Here is a 23,451-nt window from a genome sequence, read left to right on the forward strand (position 1 = left end):
CATCATTGCTGAAGCTTTCCAAGACAGATGTAGAAGAACATTCAGACAAATTCACGTGGCTCATACCAATATGGTTTGGTCCTAAAACCCCATGAAACAGGTGAGTTGTGCCACCAATGACTTCCAAGACTCTTGTTTTGCTCCTCTAGATTTATTGTTATCCTATAAACATCTTTGGTGTTTTGTCCTTATAGCCACAACCTCATATTTACATACATATAATATATGGAGACTCCAAAATATGAACTCTAGGAAAATCACCCATAGAAACATGGAAAGAAATTCTTCACTTCAGCTACAGCAGCTGATCTAAGCTATCCGTCACTAACTTTTTGTTTGTTTGTTTGAGAGAGTCTCGCTCTGTTGCCCAGGCTGGAGTGCTGGAGTGCAGTGGCGCGATCTCGGCTCACTGCAACCTCCACCTCCTGGATTTGTCATTCTCCTGCCTCAGCCTCCCGAGTAGCTGGAATTACAGGCATGTGTCACCATGCCCGGCTAATTTTTTTGTATTTTTAGTAGAGATGGGCTTTCTCCATGTTGGTCAGGCTGGTCTCGAACTCCCGACCTCAGGTGATCTGCCCACCTTGGCCTCCCAAAGTGCTGGGATTACCAGGGTGAGCCACCACACCCGGCCTGAAGACTGATTTATTTTAAGAAATTGGCTCATGTGATTGTAGGGGCCAGCAAGCCTGTCATCTGTAGAGCAGGTCAGAAAGCTAAAACTTCAGGTAAGAGTTGATGTGGCAACCTTGGGTGTAAATTCCAAAGGGCAGCAGGCTAGAACACAAGGAGAATTTGTATTATTTCATTCTGAAGGAGAATTCCTCATTCAGGAATCCTGTTTTTGCTCTTGGGGCCTTCAAATAATTATAGGAGACCCACCCACATTACGTAGGGGAATCCACTTTACTCAAAGTCTACTGATTTAAATGTCAATCATATCTAAAAAATATCCACAGCAATAACTAGATGGTGCTTAACCAAACACTGGGCAACATAACCTGGCCAGGTTGACACTTAAAATTAACCATGACAATATGTTTTTGAAAAAGTGTCATAAACACTCAATAAATGCTTTCTAATAAATATTTAAAATATATAATTCTAACATTACTCTTTAATATATTTAGCAAATAAAATCCAGATACAATGCACTAGCTTTTTTCCTATACAAATAAAATTTAAAAAAAAACTTTGGTTACAACTATTTAAAAACAGTTTATGTAACTAAGCCATTAAAAAAATAGTTTTACAGCCAGCCATGGTGGCAGGTGCCTTTAATCCCAGCTACCTGTGAGGCTGTGGCAGGAGAATCGCTTCAACTAGGAGGGAGAGGTTGCAGTGAGCAGAGATTAGGCCACTGCACTCCAGCCTGGACAACAAAGCAAGACCCTATGTCAGAAAAAAAAAAAAGATAAAAAAAACAAGAAACAGACATAGTTATAGGTTAATACTTGAAGTGTTTGTTATTCAGCAATAAAACTTTCCCTTGAGACTTGGAAGAAACTTAGGCAGGTCCTTTTCAGTTAAAAAAAAAAAAAAAAGCAAACAAAAACTGCTTTGGGAGGCTTAGATGGGAGGATCACTTAGGGCCAGGAGTTCAGAACCAATCTGGGCAACATAGAAAGACCACATCTCTACAAAAAAACAAAAACAAAAACGAACTTTTTTTTTCATTAGCCGGATCTGGCAGTGCATATCTGTAGTCTTAGACAGCAAGATTGCTTGAGCTCAGTTGTTCCAGGTCACAGTGAGCTATAGTAGTGCCACTGCACTCCAGCCTTGGTGCCAGAGCAAGGCCCTGTCTCTAAAATATAATAATAAAATAAATATATATAAATAAAAATTATATAATAAAAACAAATATTGCATGTAAGTCAGGGAAGGGAAAAATAAAAAATAGAAACCTACCTCACAATCACACATCTTTAACATGGTATCAGGCTTTTAGAAATAGAAAAAAAAAGTTTTATGCCAATTTTAAATATGTGATTTATAATTTTCAAAAGATACATTGATTCTTAGTCCTGCAGCAACACTACTGATGAGTTTACAACTGACTAGAGATAGTCTTGCTATAATTATAGGTAGAGCACATATTTTTGTAGACATTAAGAGGTTTAGGAGATAAAGAAATTATTATATGGACATTATAACTTTTACTAGTATAGCTATTTTGAATTGAAAAATGCTGATGACTTTCAAAAAATCAACTGTTGTTTAAATTAGGTGAATCCACATTAAAGAGGCTTAAGGTTATTTAACACACAAAACAAATCAAAATAGTCTATCTGAACAACAAATTTCATGGATCCAAAAAAGCAGATATTTAATCCCTCAACATTCTTGTTCTTTGCCCAGCTAAAATTCCACAATATTTACTGTCTGATACGAGGGAACTAAGTCATTTTTCTATGCTATATGAATAATAGTTTATTTTTACAAATAGAATGATGTGAAAAATGTATCCATCAAGGTACAAAACCTATTTGCAAAAATCACCTAGTAATCAATGACATGAGTCCTTTGTGTAAGATATATCCAGGTTCAAATTCACAGTTTTGCCACTTATTAGCTGTGTTATCCTAGACAACCTTAACTTTCTCATTCCTTAGGTTAATTGTTGGCAATAGTGATATTTATTCTATATTTGATACTTACTCCAGTTTAAATTGGATGTTAAAAAAATACTCAAAGATTAGAAAATATAATAAAGTAACATGCCCTGGACTGTTCTTTAGCAAGTACTGCTGCTTTAAAATAAAATGTACCAATTTTAAATGCATAGTTCAAAGTCTTAACTAATGTATACAGTCATGCAGCCTACACTGTAACATGATACAGCATATCCCTATCACTCCAAAAAGTTCTTACATGGCCCTTTGCAATCCCTCCCCTCTCTCATACTTTGGTCCCTGAAAAGCACTGCCCTATATTTTAAAATCCTGGTTTTTCCCTTTCTAGAATTACAAAGAAATGAAATTATTCAGTATGTAGTCTTTTACGCTGCCTCCTTTAACTTAGTATAATTCTTTATAAACTCATTTATGTTGTTGCATGTATTAATATTTGATTTCTTCATGAGGCATATATGCAAACATTGTACTGGGCCAATTGTATATTCCTGTATTTTTTTGTTTGTTTGTTTTGGTTTTGGGGTCTATTCTGTTTTGTTTTTGAGACAGAGTCTTGCTCTGTCCCCAAGTTGGAGTGCAGTGGCGCAATCTCGGCTGATTGCAACCTCTGCCTCCCGGGTTCAAGCAATTTTCCTGCCTCAGCCTCCAAGTAGGTGAAACTACAGGCCCACCTCATTGTGCTAATTTTTGTGGGGGTTTTTTGTTTGTTTGTTTTTGTTTTTGTTTTATTCTTTTTTTTTTTTTTTTTAGTAGAGATGGGGTTTCACCATGTTTGCTAGTCTGGTCCTGAACTCTTGATCCTAGGTAATTCACCTGCCTCGCCCTCCCAAAGTGCTGGGATTACAGGCGTGGGCTGCTGCACCCAGCCAGATATTACTGTATTTTTAAAGACATCCATATATATGAATAGACAAAGATTTCTAAATATGACATACATACATTTTTTAGAAGATTGATAAATTGGCCCTCATTACAATTATCAGTAACTGATCTTAATTAGGATTAAATTCTGTTCACTGAAAATCACCATTTAAAAAGTGAAAAGAAAAATGACAGACTAGGAGAAAGTATTTGCAATGTATAAATTCAACAAAGAAATAGTATCTAGAATACATAGAGGGCTCTTGTAAGTAAATAAGAAAAAGACAAAAAAAATCCAGTTAAGAGATGGAAAATTTGAACAAGCACTGCACAAAATGAGATATCATAAAACCAGAAAGCAGGCAAAAGGTAATCAACATAATTAGTCATCAGAAAAATGCAAAATACACCCACAGCGACATACTAAGATACATCCACAAAAAAGACTAAAATAAAACTCGCAATATCAAGTGTCAACAACGATATGAAACAACTAGAATTCTTACAGTGCTCATGAGAGGATAAACTGATACAATCACTTTGAAAAAAAATTTTGGTATTATTTTCTATGTCCTGGCTATTTCACTTTTGAGTATGTCCCTAAACAAAATGAGTACTTAACATTCAACAAAATATATGCACAAGAATGCTCATAATAGAGTTTATTCATTGTGTACAAAACTGGAAACATCCCAAATATCCATGAATAATATGATAAGTAAATATATTGTGGCACACGTTGGTAGTATAGAATGAAATTTAAAGCAGAAAACGGGAAAGAATGAACTATTGCTGCATACAGCTGGATGGATTAATTCTTTTTTTTTTTTTTTTTTCAGATGGAGTCTCGCTCTGTCACCAGGCTGGAGTGCAGTGGCGCGGTCTCGGCTCACTGCAACCTCTGCCTCCCAGGTTCAAGTGATTCTCCTGCCTCAGCCTCCCAAGTAGTTGAGACTACAGGCCTGCCACCACGCCCAGTTAATTTTTGTATTTTTAGTAGAGACAGGGTTTCACTATGTTGGCCAGGAAGTAGCTACTCTGGAGAGGAGTACTGAGTAGGAAGGAACACATGGGAGCCCTCTAAGATATTTAAAATATTCTATGCCTTGCTCTGAGTGGTGATTACATGGGTGCATACACATTTAAAAATAATCAGGAAGTTTATTAAATATTTGGGCATGTAAATGCATGTAAGATACCTCAATTAGCAAACAACTCTTGGAAGATACTGCAGATCATCTGGGAGTGTCATCCGGGAAGGCATTTTGAGACAGAATGTAATCATTTTGATCAGATATAAGTTCAGCTCCACAGTTTGAATTCACTAGTATCTTCAGTTAAAGGCCACAGGTGGTAATGATGTCTCCTGTTGCTATATTTAGCGATATAGTAGTTTTAAGATAGCTCAACTTTAAATATGAAGTTGCGATAAGATTCAGTTTACTCACTCTTCATAAGAAATGTACTGAAGAAAGTTCATATTTACAATATATTATTGTTAAAAATAAAATTATAAACGCACTTTTTAATGAATTAATAGCTCTATAAATACCCACTGACTTGGTAACATATGTAAACATATATAAAGCTTAATGTAACTATTAAACAATGGATTTCAGGTTTATTTTAGAATTTGATATGATAAAAGCACTGCAAAAAGGGCAGTTAAAATGTAGCCTACATATTCTCACTCCGGATACTATAAGAAATGAAAAATACCTTGTAAATTACAAGGTAACCCTTGATATATTTGTTTAGTATGCATTTATTTATAATAATTGTATAAACACCTATTTTTTAATTAAAACGCTTATTGAAGACACTATGAACCATGGCATGCAAAAGGCATCAGGATACAACGAGACAGAGATTAAACTCTCAAGCGTTCATAGTGAGAGGGCAGACAGACAAATATCATTATAATTCAATGTTGAAATTGGGTCAGAGCTATGTGCTCATGGAGAGTTCTATGCCAAAGTCTATAAAACACAGTTCCAGTCCAAAGAACTTAAAAATGTAACGACAAAGTGAAATCCATATGAACTTTAAAAACAAAATTCCACATTAATTTCTATAAAACTTGTAATTCATGGTAACTAAAGTTTAAATGTCCTATATTTTAAATTTGGTATAATCAATTCATTGCAGTCTCTGTATTGTTATCTCAGTGTGTATGTGTGTGTGTATATTAAATGCAAAACAATCCAAATGAAAGGCACGAGAAAGATAATATTTTTGTCATATATTTTCTACTCTCAAACTTCCCAAATAAATGCCTGTTAATGATTTCAGGTTTAAAGGGCCTCTTTTCCAAATGCCAGTGAGCATGACAAGTGGCCCACACTTCAAGACTTTATAGCCCTCTGATATACTTGCTCTCAGACACAAACCAGATACTTCACCATCTGCTTTTCTTCTTGCTGATCACTCATGTTTTAGGTTAGATAACATCCACAGAAAACCATAAACACATCATATATTACATGATAATTATCCTTCCTTAAAGATAACAGAAAAGGAAACCCATTTTCTGATGTCACTTACTCCAAAAAGCTTTAAATCCAAAAGATGAGCAATATCTGTTCCACTGAGAAATAAATTAGAACATAAATGTTGAACACTCAAGAAACCAGAGATAAATTCACATACAATAACTCTCCTGAAATTGTCTTTGTTTGTAGCACAATATTAAATGAGCCCAAAGTGAAGGAAGATAAATAACATTTTTAATTTGTTAGACTATCCCACAGATGCACTGGAGAATGCCGGAATATATAGCACATTAGAAGTGCTTTGTCTGCATCATGATATTGATTCCTCTGATCATAACGGGATATTTTAGCTCAAAATGTGATTTTTATGGTGAGAATACGGAGAAAACACTTATTGATGAGCCCACTATTTGCCAAAAATAGTATATTAAGAAGGAAGATGTTATATTAGTCCGTTTTCAGCCTGCTTATATAAAGACATACCCAAAACTGGGTAATATATAAAGAAATTAGGTTTAATGAACTCACAGTTTCACGTGGCTGTGGAGGCCTCACAATCATGGCAGAAGGCAAAAGGCACGTCTTACATGGCAGCAGGCAAGAGAGAGAATGAGAACCAAGTGAAAGGGGTTTCCCCTTATACAACCATCAGATCTCGTGAGACTTACTCACTACCACAAGAACAGTATGGGGGAAATTGCCCTCATGATTCAATTATCTCCCACTAGTTTCCTCCTACAACACGTGGGAATTATGGGAGCTGCAATTCAAATGAGATTTGGGTCGGCACACAGCCAAACCATATCAGATACCCTGAACTATATAAGTCTAAAAGCGAAAAATTCAGGTTTTGCAGTCTGTCCATTCAGTGACCATTTTTAGATAACTAGAGTGATTTGCTGCCTTTATGCTACTTCCCCCACTCATTCTCTAATTTCAAAGGTGTCTTAGACTTTATCATGAATCACACTATAAATTGTTTTATAAAACTATATTGTTCTTCACTTTTTAAAGATGTCTTCAACCTTTACTCCCCCATAGTCATACAGATATGGTAACAAGATCCTACAACAAAAATTACCAGATGTCAAGCTCTGCATTTGACTCTGCGCATTTTGAGATCATCAAGTATGTCTTATTCAGCTTCAGTTTCCCAGCCTGACAGAGAACCGAGGACTCAAAAATCTATTGGTTGAATGAAGGAAACCAAAGTTAGGAGTGCATTAGTCCCCTGGAAGAAACTCATTCATAATTGTATGGTACAGTGTGCTCCCACATGAAAAGGATTAAGAAAAACAATGCCTACATATTCGCCTCATTTCTCTCCAGTTACAGTTTTACAGCTTTAACTTTCCCTTTACATCAAATTTCTGGAAAGCTTTGTCTAATTTCTGTATGAATTATGATGTCTTGGATTTCACCCTAGCTGGCTATTTTTTCTGTCTCTTTTAAAAGCATCTACTCTTCCTGTCACTAAACTCATGGCCCCAATCTAAGCCCTCTTTCCTTTCCACTCTACACTTTCAAAAGAGTTAATTTCACCCATGTCCAAATCTTCAATAATAACGTTCACAGATAACTTATGTGTGAAATAATTTATCTATACAACAATTACTTAATATCTCACAAACACATAAACAAACTTGATCTTGTTATTTTATCTTCCAATGTTCCAATGCTAGCTAATTCATCATCACCCATCCAATAATGAAAAACAGAGAATTAAGAGTTACCCTGTTCAATACAAGAAAGAGCTACTACATAGTGTGGGGGTTCTGAGAAGGTAGCAGGGGTTAGGACCTCAAGCACAGGGTACAAGTGGCCTCAAACACAAGGTATATGGGAAATCTTTTTATTATAGTAACAGAGTCAGGTTTGATATCAGAAAAATGAGAAATTCTCTACTGAATGGCTTTTGTTTTCAGTGTAAATTACAACATGAATTCATCTACCAAAAATGAATAGGAAAAGTTGGTTGAATTTTTATGAGACACAAGAGAAACTTGATAGAAATGCCAGGTGGTTTCAAGGTCTCCTTTGAGCATCATGATTATTGACATATAATCAAACCATTTGCCCTGTGGTTGCAGCTTTCTCCATCAGCACTCAGTTTCTTATGAAAATAAGTGAGGGAAGAAAAATGGGACAGAAGTAGGTTTACAATTCCTTATCCATGATTCCAAACTCCAAAATGTCCTGAAAACCATTTTTTTCCAAATTATTTTGGCTGCAAACCAATTTTCTGATAAGAACTCATGTATAGTCTATATTTATTTAAATTAGAGTACATGTAATACATTTTGCTAAATATGTCTATTGTTTTATATTATGGGGTACTGTCTCAGACTGTTAGAGGTGTTACGTAATGTTTTAAAAATTTGAATTCTGAATCATGTTTAGTTTTAAGGGCTTTTTGACAAAGGTTTGTAGATTCAGCATAAGCATCCATTCAGATTTGACATTTTGCCAGAGGGCTTAATTTTTCCATAACTTTTTGACAACCTTACCTCAGGAATAATGCCATGTGTGTGCTGAAAATTAAAAGGTAAATTATTAAGTTATGCATTTATATTTGATCTACTATTAATTTTATGAGAAAATAAAGCACTTTTCTGAAGTTTCCCAGAATGCAATGTGACCAAAACCTTTATGGGAAAAGTTTTTAAAGTGATAATTTGGCTCTGAAATTCCCTTTTGTGTTCTTATGGAGAATGGATTTATATAATGGCAATGTAATTTTTCATTTAACATATTTTTCAGTATGTTACATGAGAACTGCTTACCTCATGTTTTGATTACTATTCCTGTATGAAATACTTTAATGGCTTAAAACATAACACTTATTTTATTAATATCAGCTCTCAAGGATTTTGTGGGTCAGGAGAAAGGTTGCAGCTGAGCGCTTCTGGCTTGGAGTCTCTCATGATGTTCACTCAGATGGTAGCTGGGCCTGGTGCAGTAGGCCTAGAAATATCTTTCTTTCTATGTTTTCTCAAGCCATCTTCATATGGTCTCTCTATGTGAGCTATTTGGGCTTCCTCACAGCATAACAGCTCAAGGCTCTTGCACAAGGGTTCCAGCAACTAAAGTGAAACTAATCTTTTTTGAACTAACCACAAAAGTCACACAGCATCCCTTCTACCACTTTTATTTGTTATAAGCAAGTCATAAGCCTGACATTACAAGAAGGGAATAATAATCAGAGAGGTACTTTGCTACACCTTAATTTCTGTTAAACTCTCCTGTCTTATACCTAGAGGAGCTTTAATATGATCCATATAGCTAAACTTGTGAATCACTACTTAGAGCCCCATTACTTCATAGTTCGGCAGCTTTTGATACAGCTGCCAACTTTCTCCTTTCTGAAGCGTTTCCTTCCCTTGGCTTCCATGACACCACACTTCTCCTTCTTCTCTGTTTATATCTTGTTTCTTCATCAATTCAACCTCCCATAGAGGGCTTGATATGTTGAAGTTTCTCAAGAACCCAGGCCCTCTTGCCTTCTCACCTTGAAATTTCATCCTAGACATTTGTGTTGATTTCCTGAAGTTGCTATAACAAATCAGCACAAATTTGCTAGCTTAAAACACGAAATGAATTCTCTCACAGCTCTGGAGGACGGAAGCCTGGAATACTTCCTCCAGAGGATCAAAGGGAGCTTCTGTTTCTTGTTTGTTCCAGCCTTTGGTGGCTCCAGATATTCCTGGGCTTTTGGCTGCATTACTCCAATCTCTGCTTCCATCTTCATATGGCCTTCTTCTCTGGGTCTAGGTATTTTATAAAGTTACTTGGCATTAGTTTTAGGGCCCACCTGGATAATCCTAGATGATCTTATTTTGAGATCCTTCACTTAGTTATACCTAAAAAACCAATTTTCCAAATAAGTTAACATTCACAAGTCCTAGGGATAAGGACACAGACATATTTGGTTTGGGGTGGTGACCATAAACACCATTCAGTCCACTTCAGCATACTTAGCCTATTCTGTGGATTTAATTGCCATCTACTTAGAAATTCATATCTCCAGCTTTCTGGGTGTCTCTTCTGAGTTCTACATCTATATATTTATAAACATGAAAACCTGTTTCACATCTCCTTTAGATATCAGAAAGATTCCTAACACAGTTGTTCAAAATGAATCTCCCTGTAGATGCTCCTGAATCTGCTCCTCCAGTTCTTATCTCAAAAATGGCATCATAATTCACCTTGTTTTGCATGTGTTTACAGATGTTAATTATTTTATTCACAATCTGCATATACAAAGATATCCTGTATTTAATACTTCTTAAATATTTCACCAGTTTCCCCACTTCTAACCATTCTCAATGCTATCACTCTACTAGAACACGAAATCACCCACTAAGAGTAAAGGAGAACATTGCAACTTTAAGGATGAAGTGTCCATTATCAGAAGTCTGGATCCCATCACCGCCATCCACTCTGAAAAATAAGGCTGGCCTTCACTACCTTCAATGACCTCTCAAGTCTTTCCACTTCCATTAGTTTCCACTGTCACTGTTCTAGTGCAGTCACCATTATTTTTCCCCTGAATGATTGTAGAAGCGCCTAAGTGAATCCCAGCCTCACCATCATTCACCCCTCAAGCTACCCTCCACCTTGCAAAAACAGTGAACTTACAAAACACAAAACTAGTTTGATCACACAAGTGCCTAAAGCCTTTATGGCTTTTCAATGATTTCACAATAAAGTCCAAAATACATAACATGGCCTTTCAGCAAGCGACCACTCTCTCCCTCTCTAGGCTCATTGCCCAACACAGCCCTACTTGCTCTAGACCATGACACCTTCTTTCATATGGGCCTCTACACAGAATGCTTCTCTGGCTTGCAATGACCACCCGCTCTACTTCATCAGTAAGTGAAACCCTGATTATCTGTAAAGTTTTGTCTATAACGCTACTTAATTTTATCTTAATGCCACTTCTTCTGGATAGCTCTCTCTAAATTATAGGCCTAAATTTATCTCTCCATTTTTTACTTTCATTCCATTTCATACTTCTTTATATCGCAAATGCAATTGTGCTAATTATCACTACACTTCATCAAATCTAAGTCTACGTTATTTAATAAAACTATTGCCAATCAAACTGTGACATTCACATTCTTATTAGTTAGAATTTTTGTTTTATCTTAAAGAATGAGCTGTTTAGCCCTATCTACTTGTATTTTATAATATTACATTCTTTTGTACTTTGCATTCTTTGTTCAAAAAACAAAAATGTTGATTAAAGTATGTATAAAATATCTTCATTATCCCTCAGAGCCCAAATAATCTGCACTACTTTTCCAGTCAGAATGGTTGATGCCTGTGCTTGCTCATACAATAATATCTGCTGTGTCATCAGGAGTATTGATAGTGTAGTACTTCTTAAAAGTGTTTTCCACTTTTGTCTCTGGGAAATTGCTGTCATCCATTCTGAAAATTTTCATGCTTATGCATAGGCAATTAATCGCAACTACCATGGCACAACTACTGGCAAGCCGTCAATAATTGAGATGCAATACTATTACAGAGATGTTAAAAGAGAAGAAAGAATAATGTAAATTTTAGAATCTAGCAATTTGATACATATTTATATAATTATTTGATTAATTCCTATCCCTACTGATAAATTTTCACATCTGCCCAAGCAGATTTTGTATGTTTATGGGGCATTCCATTTCATTGCGTCAATCTTCACCAAGAATATTACAAAAAATCTGTATCTAGCAGACCTTCCTCTAGAACTCTCTCCTGTTGGGGAGTTTCTGATTACATGCCTGCTTGGAGGACAGGTATAAGAAATCAGCTAACACCTCCAAGGACTTACTGTGAGTCAGAGAAGAGCAAAGAAAAACTCCTTTCAATTGTGCCCTTCTGAGCAGGTGAAGGTGCTGCCTGAGTCCACCACCACACACAGTGCATGAAATTGCTCATGAAATTGCACAAGCCTGTTGTTTTCACCTCACCCAGTTCATGGCATCAAATGGAATACCTGTATCTCCCTCAGCACACCACTGTGTTCCCTCTTTGGGCTCCTTCATTCGTTGCTGCCTATGTGGACACCTCTTCCTCCCTAATATTTCTTTCCAATGTTTTCAGCTCTTAGACTGCATTACTAAATCACCAGTGTTTTTAATTGTTGGCCTATCTCTTTGCATATATCAAAACAAGACTCCAGCCCCCAACAATGAGGGATGAGGCAGGACCTCCTGATGAGTGCTGAGCTGGTAATGCTAGGGGAGCGCTCCAGCATCCTGCTATCCAAATTAAGCCTGAAGCCACTCTTAGTCAAAGAGCCATCTGAGGCATGGGAAATGCTTACATTCCTCCAGACCAAGCAAGGTACACGGATGAAAGCAGTGAGGAACCAAACTCTGGAAAAGAGAGTTTTGAAAATGGGAGACCAGTGAAGGACATGATAAATCTCAAGAAGAAAGGTGCAATCTGAAATAACTCGGCTTTGGAAAACTTAGGGACCCAGCATAGGGCACTAGCTTCTAATCCAGCACTGGTACTAACTGGATACCTGAGCTCAGACTTTGTTGTAACAAAAGATCACCATAGACTGGGTGGCCTGTGAACAATATAAATTTATTTATTATAGTCCTGGAGGCTGAAAGCCTGAGATCAGAATGTCTGCTTGGTTGAGTTCTGATAAGGGCCCTCTTTCAGGTTGCAGATCACCAACTTCTCATTGCATCCTCCTATGACAGAAAGAGAGCTAGCTCTCTGCACTACATATAATGGCACTAACCCATTCATGAGAGCTGCACCCTCAAGACCTAATTACTTCTCAAAGGCCCCACCTCTAAATATCATCACATTGGGATTAGGGTTTCAATATATGAATTTGGAGTAGGAGGGAAATACAAACATTCAATCATTTGATTTGGTCAATAATTGTTTGTTGAATAAATAAAAGCCTGAAATATGATGATTCAACATAGTGAGACATATAAGAAGAAAGCAAGAAATAAAATATTCTGAGACAATGCGAAACAAATAAGGCATCACCGCACAGACTCATAAAATAATTATGTGGAATTGAATACCCTCTATATGCCAGGTTGTATGTTAAGAGCTTATTTCAATGCTAGACTGAGGCACTAATTATGACTCCCATTTTATACATGATGAAAATGAGACTTAGAGTGTATAGTACACAGAATAATGTTCTCTCAAAGACATGCCTGTCCTGATCAGCAGAATTTGTGAATATATTACTTTACATGGCAAAATGGATATTGCAGGCATGATTTAAGTTAAGGGTCTTGAGATAGAAAAGTTATTTTGAATTATCCAGGTGTGCCAATGTTATCACAAAATCCCTTATAAGGTAATGAGAGGAGGAAGAAGATGTGAAGAGAGGAGCAGAGTTCAGAGAGAAAGAGTAAGAGAGAGTTAAAGTTGCTATGCTGCTGATCTTGAAGACAGAGAGTGGGGCTGTGAGCCAAGGAATGTAGGTGGCCTCCAGAAGCTGGAAAAGGCAAGGGAACAGATGTTGCCCTGGTGCCTTCAAAAGCAATGCAGCCCTGACAATATCTGGATTTTAGGGCTCTGACCTCCACAAACATAATACAATGAATTTGTATTGTTTTATATTTCAAAGTTTATAGTAATTTGTTACAGCAACAATAGGAAATTAATTCCTTAATACAGAAGGATTAAGGAATTTTCTCAATGATCTCATTTTCTCAGTGAGGGTCAGCTGAAACCCAGGCATCTCTGACACTGAGTTTTGTCATTTCTCCCATCTTAGTAGCAGGAAAGTCACTCAGAAAATAGATAAATCCACACTTGTAAAATGGAAGTGTCTCAACCTACTTAACAGGAATTAGGCATTTTTAACATGCTGCCAATAATGGTGAAAAAAATGAACCAGATAAATCTATATGACTGAAAAACTGCTACCTGTTTCTAAGTACCGAGAGAAAAACTGTTCATCCAATTTTGTTAAGCTTAAATTCTCACCAGACATATATCCTTTTACTGTGGACTCAAATTTGATCACTATTCAAGTCTTTTTCAATGTCTTCTCTATGGTTGGCTTACCTCCTAAGCAGATAAAAATTGATTTTCTAATTCTGTATGACTTGTTGCACAATATATCTTTTTGTATGTACACAAAACTCTGAAAGCTTACTTAAACTCTGTTAGCTCATGGTTAGCCTCAAATTTACACCAACTTAAGAATTATTTTTTCTACTAAATGTTGTTTAATAATCATTGTTTTATTTTTATTGCCAAATTCTAGTTTTAAAAATGGTTGGTAGGAATGTAAATTAGTTCAACCCCTATGAAACACAGTATAGAGAAATCGCAAAGCACTAAAAATAGAACTACCATTCCACCAGCAATTACATTACTTGGCATCTCCCCAAAGAAAAAGAAAGCATTATATAAAAAAAGACACCTGCATTTGGATGTTTATTGCAGCACTATTCACAATAGAGAAGTCATGGAACCACCCTAAGTGCCCATCAATGGTTGCTTGGATAATGGAATATCATACAGCCATAATAAACAATAAGATCATATCCTTTGCAGCAGCATGAATGGAGCTAGAGGTCATTATCCTGAGTAAACTAACTCAGAAGCAGAAGATCAAATATCATGTATTCTCCCTAATAAGTAGAAGCTTAGCAATGGGCAGACATGAACATCAAGATGGAGATAATAGACACTGGGAACTCCAAAAGCGTAGACAATAAGAGGTGAGTGAGGATTGAAAAATTGCCTATTTGGTACAATGTTTAATACTTGGGTGATGGGCACACTAGAATTGCGTTCCCCACAATTACCCATGTAATACCCATGTAAGAAACAAGCACATGTAGCCCCTGAGCCTAAAATAAAATAAAATTTTTAAGTCCTCAATATAATCTATTTATTTCTGAGTTAAATAAAATATTTTAAGAGAGATAAATGTTTCAACAAAAATATATTTGTACATATCAGCATTTTTATTAATAAAAATATTTGCCTTATTTTGACTTAATAATGTATATAATATCAGAGATATTAAAATGTACAATATACAATTAAGATATACAATATACAATTAAGATATACAATATCTGAGATACTTTCTCAGATTTTACTGGGGCTTGGAGTGAGTGAAGAATCCAATCCATAGCCCTTGTTTTCAAGGAGTTTGGTTAGGAAATCAGAATATATTGTCGAAATACAATTCATAAACAAATCCCTGAATCCAAAATATCCTAAAGGTACTATACCCTCTCTTTAAACCATTCTCCAAACTGCAATCATAACAAGTCAGATTCCAGTTTTGTTTTACTTCCGTATCTTTTTTGGAAGAGTCAGCTTAAGGTTTCATTGCACAACTGGGAGCTGAAATGTTGAAGAAAAGGATGTTGAGTCCCTGAATATGGAATACGGGCAATGGTATAAGGCACACGACTTGGTCAGTGGGTGACAGACTTTAGTAAATGCAGTGTATAAGGGGAAAGGGACCTGTGATTGGACAGGGGGGTCGAGATCACAGAAAAGCCTGAACACTGCACTCTGTGATTAGTATTTGATTCTTCTATGTTTAAGACATTATTTTCTCAAAAATGTTTAGCACGATATAGAACTTAAGAGTACAGGGAGGAAAGCCAGCTTGCTTGGTTCTTTGCCTTAATTTCCTCATCTTGAAAATGGGATTATATATAGATCTTATCCTAATACAGTGACTGTGAAGATAAAATGTGTTAATATAGAAAAGTGTCTAGAAGAATGACTGGCACATAAAAAGTGCTAAAGAAGTGTTTTTTACTATTCCACACAACACAGATGTTGAAAAGAGTTCAGGCAAAGCTACATGTGATTTCCCTTTACAGATTATTATTTCAACAGCTTTGAGAAATTTAGTAGGGAAAATTTGTTTTCCATGTTTATTTTAGTACTATTCACAATAGCTGAGATATGGAATCAAACTAGGTGCTCAACAGCAGATGAATGGATAAAGAAAATGCATAAAAAAGTACTACTGAGCCATAAAAAAGAATAAAATACTGTCATAAATAAAAGAATAAAATACTGTGGCAACATGAATGGAACTGGAGGATGTTATATTAAGTGAATTAAGCCAGGAACAGAAAGTGAAATACCACACGCTCTGTCATACGTGGAAGTTAAAAAAAAAAAAAAAAGTTGATTTCATAGAAGTAAAAAGTAGAACAGAGGATACCAGAGGCTGGGAAAGATAGAAGGAAAGGAAGAGATTTGTTAAAGGGTACAAAATTACAGTTAGATAGGAGGAATACATTCTAATATTCTATACCATTGTAAGATGACTATAATTGACAATAATATATTACTATATATTATATAGAGTCAAATGGCTAAAACGAGGAATGCATTGAACATTCCCAACATAAAGAAATGACAAATGTTTGATATAATAGGTATGCTAATTACCCTAATCTGATTACTATACATTATATGTATTGAAACAATGTTAGGTACCTTCCATGAATAAGCACAATTATTATTATTTGTCAATTTAAAAATTAAAGGAAAAAAAAGAAAGAATAGGTAAGTGTGGTGGCTCATGTCTGTAATCCCCGCGCTTTGAGAGGCCACAGGAGAGGATAGCTTGAGGCTAGCAGTTTAAGACCAGTCTGCAACATAGTGAGACCCCATCTCTACAGGAAAATAAATATATTAGCTTGGTGTGATGTTGCATGCCTGTAGTCCCAGTTACTCTGGAGGTTGAGATAGGAAGATCGCTTGAGCCCAGGAGTTGAGGCTGGAGTGAACTATGATCGCACCACTGCACTCCAGCTGGGATGGCAGCAAAACCCTGTTTCTAAAAATAAAAATCCAGAAGAAAGAAAGAAAAAGTAATTTAATTTTACTTTAGCCAGCGTTTTACAAAATTATGGGATTTCAGATTTTTGTTATTATTTATTTCTTTATTATTTGATTGAAGAACTAAGAATTTTAATAGCACTTATTAATATTCTGTGATACAGTTTGGGAAATCTGTTTTGGAGAATAGAGAGTATTTCTTTCATATCTAAGACAAATACAGTCAATTCTTACTATTTGCTGTAATGGGTTCTATAAAGCCACCATGAACACTGAATTAGAAAATACTAAACTACTGCTCCTAGGGTAATCCAGAGTTATTTTCCCACAAGCCTCTGCCCAAGACATTTTCCTCAACCTAAACACCATTTGTAGTATAAATATTTGTTTGTCAACATCCTCCTAAAACTAGTCAGTCTCATAAGAATAGAAAACCTGCTCTCCCACCTAATCCTATTTCTGTATCCCACTTAGCAGGTATTCTTAAAATTCTTCCACAGCATCCTAAGCTGCAGAACCTTTCTCACCTGAAAATTTAACATATTCATGACACATTGCCTTTCAAAATATGTAAACTTCTCAGCATGAGCCACAAAGAGCTTAACATTGTCCTGACCCTGGGTTACATGACCATAGTTTTTTGACTTTCAGCCTCACAACAAAGCTGTCCCCTACACATTTTTACTGGTTGTCATCTCATGAGCCCACAAATTTAGCCAGTTTTCCATCTTTTCTATAGTTTCATTATGAACTATAAATGTTAACTTTAGCTCTTTCCAGAGTAACCTCTTATCGAGATAAGAAAATTTTCTCTTCCTTTTTCTGGATGTACTATGCTGTTGATTCATTAACATTGAACTGACAGCCAAGAGTACTATAACACATGCCTGAATGAAGCCTTTTTAACACACATATATTCTCCAGAAGGCACACCTTTTGCACTTAGAAACACTAGATAGCAGTTCAGCATTACATTTGAGGGGCCAATTTAAACAGAGAAATTATCGACAAAAAGCACAAAAATGTGAAAAACATGACGCTAAAAAAGATCGGGAAAAAGACACTCATTTACTAAAAGCAGGGCTGCAAAGAGGTGGCAGAGCATCACCTTTTTCAACATCAGCTGGGAACCTGTGAAACCTGTGGAGTGACTTAATTTTTCTCTCTGTGTGTGTCCACAAATGCCTATGAAAGCACTGCAAGTATTGATTTTGGGGTTGCAAATACATTTTAACAAGTAGGCTTCCAGCTTCATCCATGTCCCTACAAAGGACATGAACTCATCCTTTTTCATGGCTGCATAGTATTCCATGGTGTATATGTGCCACATTTTCTTAACCCAGTCTATCATTGATCGACATTTGGGTTGGTTCCAAGTCTTTGCTATCGTGGGATGGGGGGAGTGGGGAGGGAAAGCATTAGGAGATATACCTAATGTAAATGATGAGTTAATGGGTGCAGTACATGAACATGGCACATGTATACATATGTAACAAACCTGCACGTTGTGCACATGTACCCTAGAACTTAAAGTATAATAAAATCAATAAATAAATAAAATAAAGTAACAAGTAGGCAAATTCAGGAATAATGAAGATTAACTGTATATCGACGACACTGTGTGCAAGAGACTTTTTGAATGGAGGAAGAAGATACTGCCAGTAAGAATATAGACGAAGAGATTGTGACCTCTTTACATGTCTCTGATTTCTGTAAAGACTACAAGATCAATATTACACAAGACTAATCTCAGTAGCCTGTATTTGCATGTGTTACAATTGTATGGTCACTTTATAAGGGAATGACTTATTAAAGTCCTTGGTTCCTTCAGGGGAGATCTAATAAAGAGAAATAGCTGATGGCTGGACTAATACAATAGCATTATCTGTGATGCTGGTCACTTTCGTAAAGGGCTGTGTTCATTAAGAGTGGTATCATCAAGACACATCAGGTGGTGTGTAGCCTAATCTAACATTCAGTTTGTCTAAAGCAGAAATCCAGTCACAGTATAGTTTGGTCATAAAATCTATATATGTACAGAACAATTCAATATTTATTATAAAATCATATAGTTTAAATATGAATGGAAGCTATTTATGAAAAACAAACTTATGAGTCATATGAATATAAATCATTGGAAATTATACCTGTCAATCTCATATCATCCATCCATAAGATATTTCCCAAAAAGGAATAGATGATGGATACTTACTTTTTGATAAGTCTCAAATATTGTTTCTAAAACATTTTTCAAATCAGTCTCTCATTTTAATCCTGCTACCACTTCCCTGGTATAGACTTTCTTTAGCCCTATTCTGATCCTATTCAATAGCTTATCACAAGTTGGTAAAAAACCTCCAAGATCGAGCAACACCGGCAGACGGAGCTGGCAGCTGAAGGGCCAGAGAAAGCCAGCTCTCGCTTGGACAGACACCAACCTGCAAAGACACTTACATGCCTCCGCTTTACATACGGAGAAAGGGGTTTCTGATGGTTAAGGGTCTCTGAATTTATCTTCTTTATTAAACAAGTTATGATCATATTCCCTAAAATCTAAAACATTTAATGTTTGGACTTGGGCAACATAGTTAACCTCATTAAGTCTGGGCTTTTCTCATCTGTAAAGCAAGTATAGTAATATGGACCCAGCCTGCTCTCTGTCCTTTTCTGTGCTTAAAATGGGGAAAGTAAATGTAAAAATCAAGTTAATCAGATGAGTTATGGCATGGGATTCACTTGTAGGATTTACATTGGCTTTCAAGTCAGGGCTTTGCAATGTTAATTTTGGCTATTCAAATACTTTTCGCTCCTCGATTTCAAGCTCCTGGCAGTGCTACATAGAGATTTTTAGATCTCTGTGCCTCAAATATGTGGGATATTAATTATGCTCTGGTCATGCCTGCATGGAAAGGCAGTTACACTTCAGTGTGCGGCAGTCAAGACCTCTACTTGATAATCAGCGTCAAAAATCAATTCGCATTTGAGATAAATATTTCATGTTTTAAATATTTAGAAGAGGTACGTTTATTTATCTTTTTTAAAATAATACCATAAGTGGTAAAGTTTTTTAGTAAACACCTTTGGTTTGTACACTTCTGAACAAAAATCATTTTAAACATAATGGAAATTGGATCAGTTTAACTGCAACAAAAGCTTCCTCCTTGTTTGATTTTAAAGGGAATGCATCTCCTTATGCGTTCTGTCCAATGCAAGTTTCTTCTCACTCCACCAAGTTTTTGTAACCTTTCATCTCTAATGTTTTCTTCAAAGCAGGAAATTTCTTTAACAAAAGGAGGAACTATTTAGATATCGGACAAATTGACCCAGTAGCTGAGAAGTTGCAAAATAGCTTTTGGATGTGATTTTTCATGATTGGCTAGAGAGTGTGTGCCCCTTAAGTGCTTTCATATCTGTCTTTCTGAGGAAAGATAAACTGTTCTTTGGCCCAAAGATGAGATAACACTCCTGGTTGTGAACAATAGGCGAGGAGCTCTGGCAGGATTGCTAAATAATTCTTCAGTAACTTCGAACAGACTCCACAGGCTTGCTTTGATTAGCAGGAAGGATCATGAAGCAGAGTGGAACTATGTGATGATGTGATGTTAGAACTGGCGAGGCAGAATCTACTCTGACCTTTTGACCTTACACACAGGCAGTCTGGGAGACGGGAAAGAAAAAGCTCTTGGCAAATTTCCTATAATAACTTATTTAAAGGCATATCTAATTTTGGCTGTGTTTTTTACTATATTTATTTACTTGGCAAGGCATTGAATTCCATAAAGGCAGAAGTCAGCCAGTCTGCCAGCACATTTGACATGATGGATTGTCTGTCTACTGTACAATACTCTGAACATCAGCATTTTGGGGGAGGTTGGGCAGAAGATAAAAAGATCTAGATTTAGTAGTTATTGTTGCATTGTTACAAGAAAAAGTGGTGCCAGCTCCTAAAGATATAAATAGTAAAGGAATTGAGGCCTGAGGGCCAGGGGTGAAGGGTTGTCTAAGCTGAAGCCCTGTCAGTGTTGTATTGTAGCTATTTATATGATGAAATTAATCACTTGAAAACAGGTCAAGGTGAAGTCAGAGTGCTTGAAGCAATTGTTTGTACTTTATCAAAGACAGGTTTTTCTTCTTCCATCAGTCAACATCCACATGAAAGCCATTGAGATTTGAAAGAAATCTCACCTGTGCCACTAGCTGCTGCTAGCTAAGTCTCAGGTTTTCCTAGTAGTCTGTAATTCTAGAAATATCAAATAGAAAACAGTGTTACTTAGATAATGATATTTTGGCAGGGTATAAATTTGGATCTTCCAAGTATTTCTCTTTCCTTTTTGTGTACCTATTTAGACTGCAGATTTTCAGTGAAAATGCCATATTTGTGTTGATATTGTTGAAATCCTTTTTTACCTAAACATAATTGTAATCAACTTTGAATTCTGAAAGGGTTTGTACTATAAATAGGAAAAACCTAGATTTCTACATAACATGATACACACCTACACACACACACACACACACACACACACGTACACTACGTCAATTAAAAACCATAAAATTTCTAGAGAAAATGTAATAGAATATCTTTGTAGCAGGATCTTAGAATGGTATCTTAAACAAAAATACCAAAAACACAAATGTAAGACAAAAAAGATAATTTTCAATATGCCAAAATGCAGATTTATAGTCTATGAATCATAACATAGACAAAAGTTAAGAAACAGATGGAAAAATGGAAGAAGATATTTAATTCAGAAAAGAAACAAAAAGAAAGATTATATAAGTCTATAAATCAACAAGAATAAAGATGCTCCTGAAGAAAAAAAGCAAAAATCATGAAAAAGAAATTAACAGCACATAAAGACACACTCAAAATCACTAGATCATTAGTAATGAGAGAAATGTCAATTAAAACAAGGTGTTACTTTGCACCTTTTAAACAAAGATTAGGAAGCTAGAATGTCATGTATTGGTGGAAATTCAAGGACATAGGAGCCCTCAAGCACTGTTAGTGAAAAATGCTATTTTGGAGAGCAAATCTACTTCTCTCTAGATATGCAGGATAGAAAGGATATAGCCCGCACAGCTCTGCAATTCTCCTGCTGGATACGTGACTCAAAGATAGTCTCACACAGGTTCACAGGGTATACTTGTAAGGTGTTCATCGCAGTGTTAGAATTGGGAGGCAACCTGGGAGTCTAACCCTGGGAGAATGACCAGGTAAAACGTGATGAATGGACACCATGAAATGTCAATCAGTAGTTATGAACAATGGATTCATTACTCAAAACACTATGATTGAATTTTAAAATATAGTTTTTAGTGAAAAAAGCATGAAAATAATAGTATATATGAACACAATACATTTATATAAATTAAAATTTCATGTACACAAAGCATGCATATTTTGCAAAAGCACTTATACAAAACATGGTGCACATTAAACACGTTACAAAGGAAGTTTATGGAAATTGGAGCCAGGATTGAAGAAAAAAAGGTGAAAGGGACAAAACAAATCAATGAATTAATTTTTAAGATATATGAGCAGGAGAAAATGGGGGATGAGCATGAATTCTGGAAGGTTGAATAGAAAATATTCATCTTCCTTTTTGGTTTGTCATGTTGGCGCATTCTTGTACATTGTGGGGCACACAAGACTCCAGCGCAGTTATTACATAAACCAAAAACTCGGCAGGAATTTGTCCTTTGGAACATAGGTACTCTCTTTTCATTTGGTCTTTATGTGTGTCTTTTATTCACATATCCAAACTCAGGGATCAGCCACAGAAGTAAGATGAGATGGATGAATTGTTGCTATTGTGGAAGAAAGCCACACTGTATTAAATATCTGTAAATTAGTACAACCACTATGAAAAACAGTATGGTTTCCAAAAATATTTAAAACATAACTACCACATCATTCAGCAATCCCACTACTGAGTATATATACAAAGGAAAATAAGTCAGTATGTCAAAAAAAATCTGTACACCCGTGCTTATTACAGCACTATTCACAATAGCCAAGATATGCAATCAACCTATCCATCAGTGGATAAATGAATAAAGAAAATGTGGTATGTTTATACAATAGAATACTACTCAGCCATAAAAAGTAGGAAATTCTGTCATTTGTGGCAACATGGATGGAACTAGAAGACCTTACGTTAAGTAAATCAGACACATAAACATGAATACTGCATGTTCTCCCTCATTTGTTGGAATTACAAATGTTGATCTCAAAGAAGAAAAGAATAGAATAGTGGTTACCAGTGATTACAAAAGGTAAAGGAAGGCTAGGAAGAAGTTGGCTTACAGATAAAAAAAATACAGCAAGATAGGAGGAATAAGTTCTAGTGACTAACAGCATTATATGGTGACTATAGTTAACAACAATTTTTTGTATAATTTCAAATAAAGGAGAGGATTTTGAGTGTTTCTGGCATGAAGAAATAATACATATTTGAGGTGATGGATATGCTATTACCCCAATTTTATCATTACACATAGTATATATGTATTGAAATATCACACCTTACCCCAAAAATATGAACAATTACAGTGTCCATATTTGGACACAATGCAATATTCTTTTTCTGTTGGAAGTGCATCTTCTTACATGTATGGTTCCTCAGTAATTTTCAAATGCT

This window comes from Homo sapiens, chromosome 21, assembly GCF_000001405.40.
Source record: "Homo sapiens chromosome 21, GRCh38.p14 Primary Assembly".
Taxonomy (NCBI): domain Eukaryota; kingdom Metazoa; phylum Chordata; class Mammalia; order Primates; family Hominidae; genus Homo; species Homo sapiens.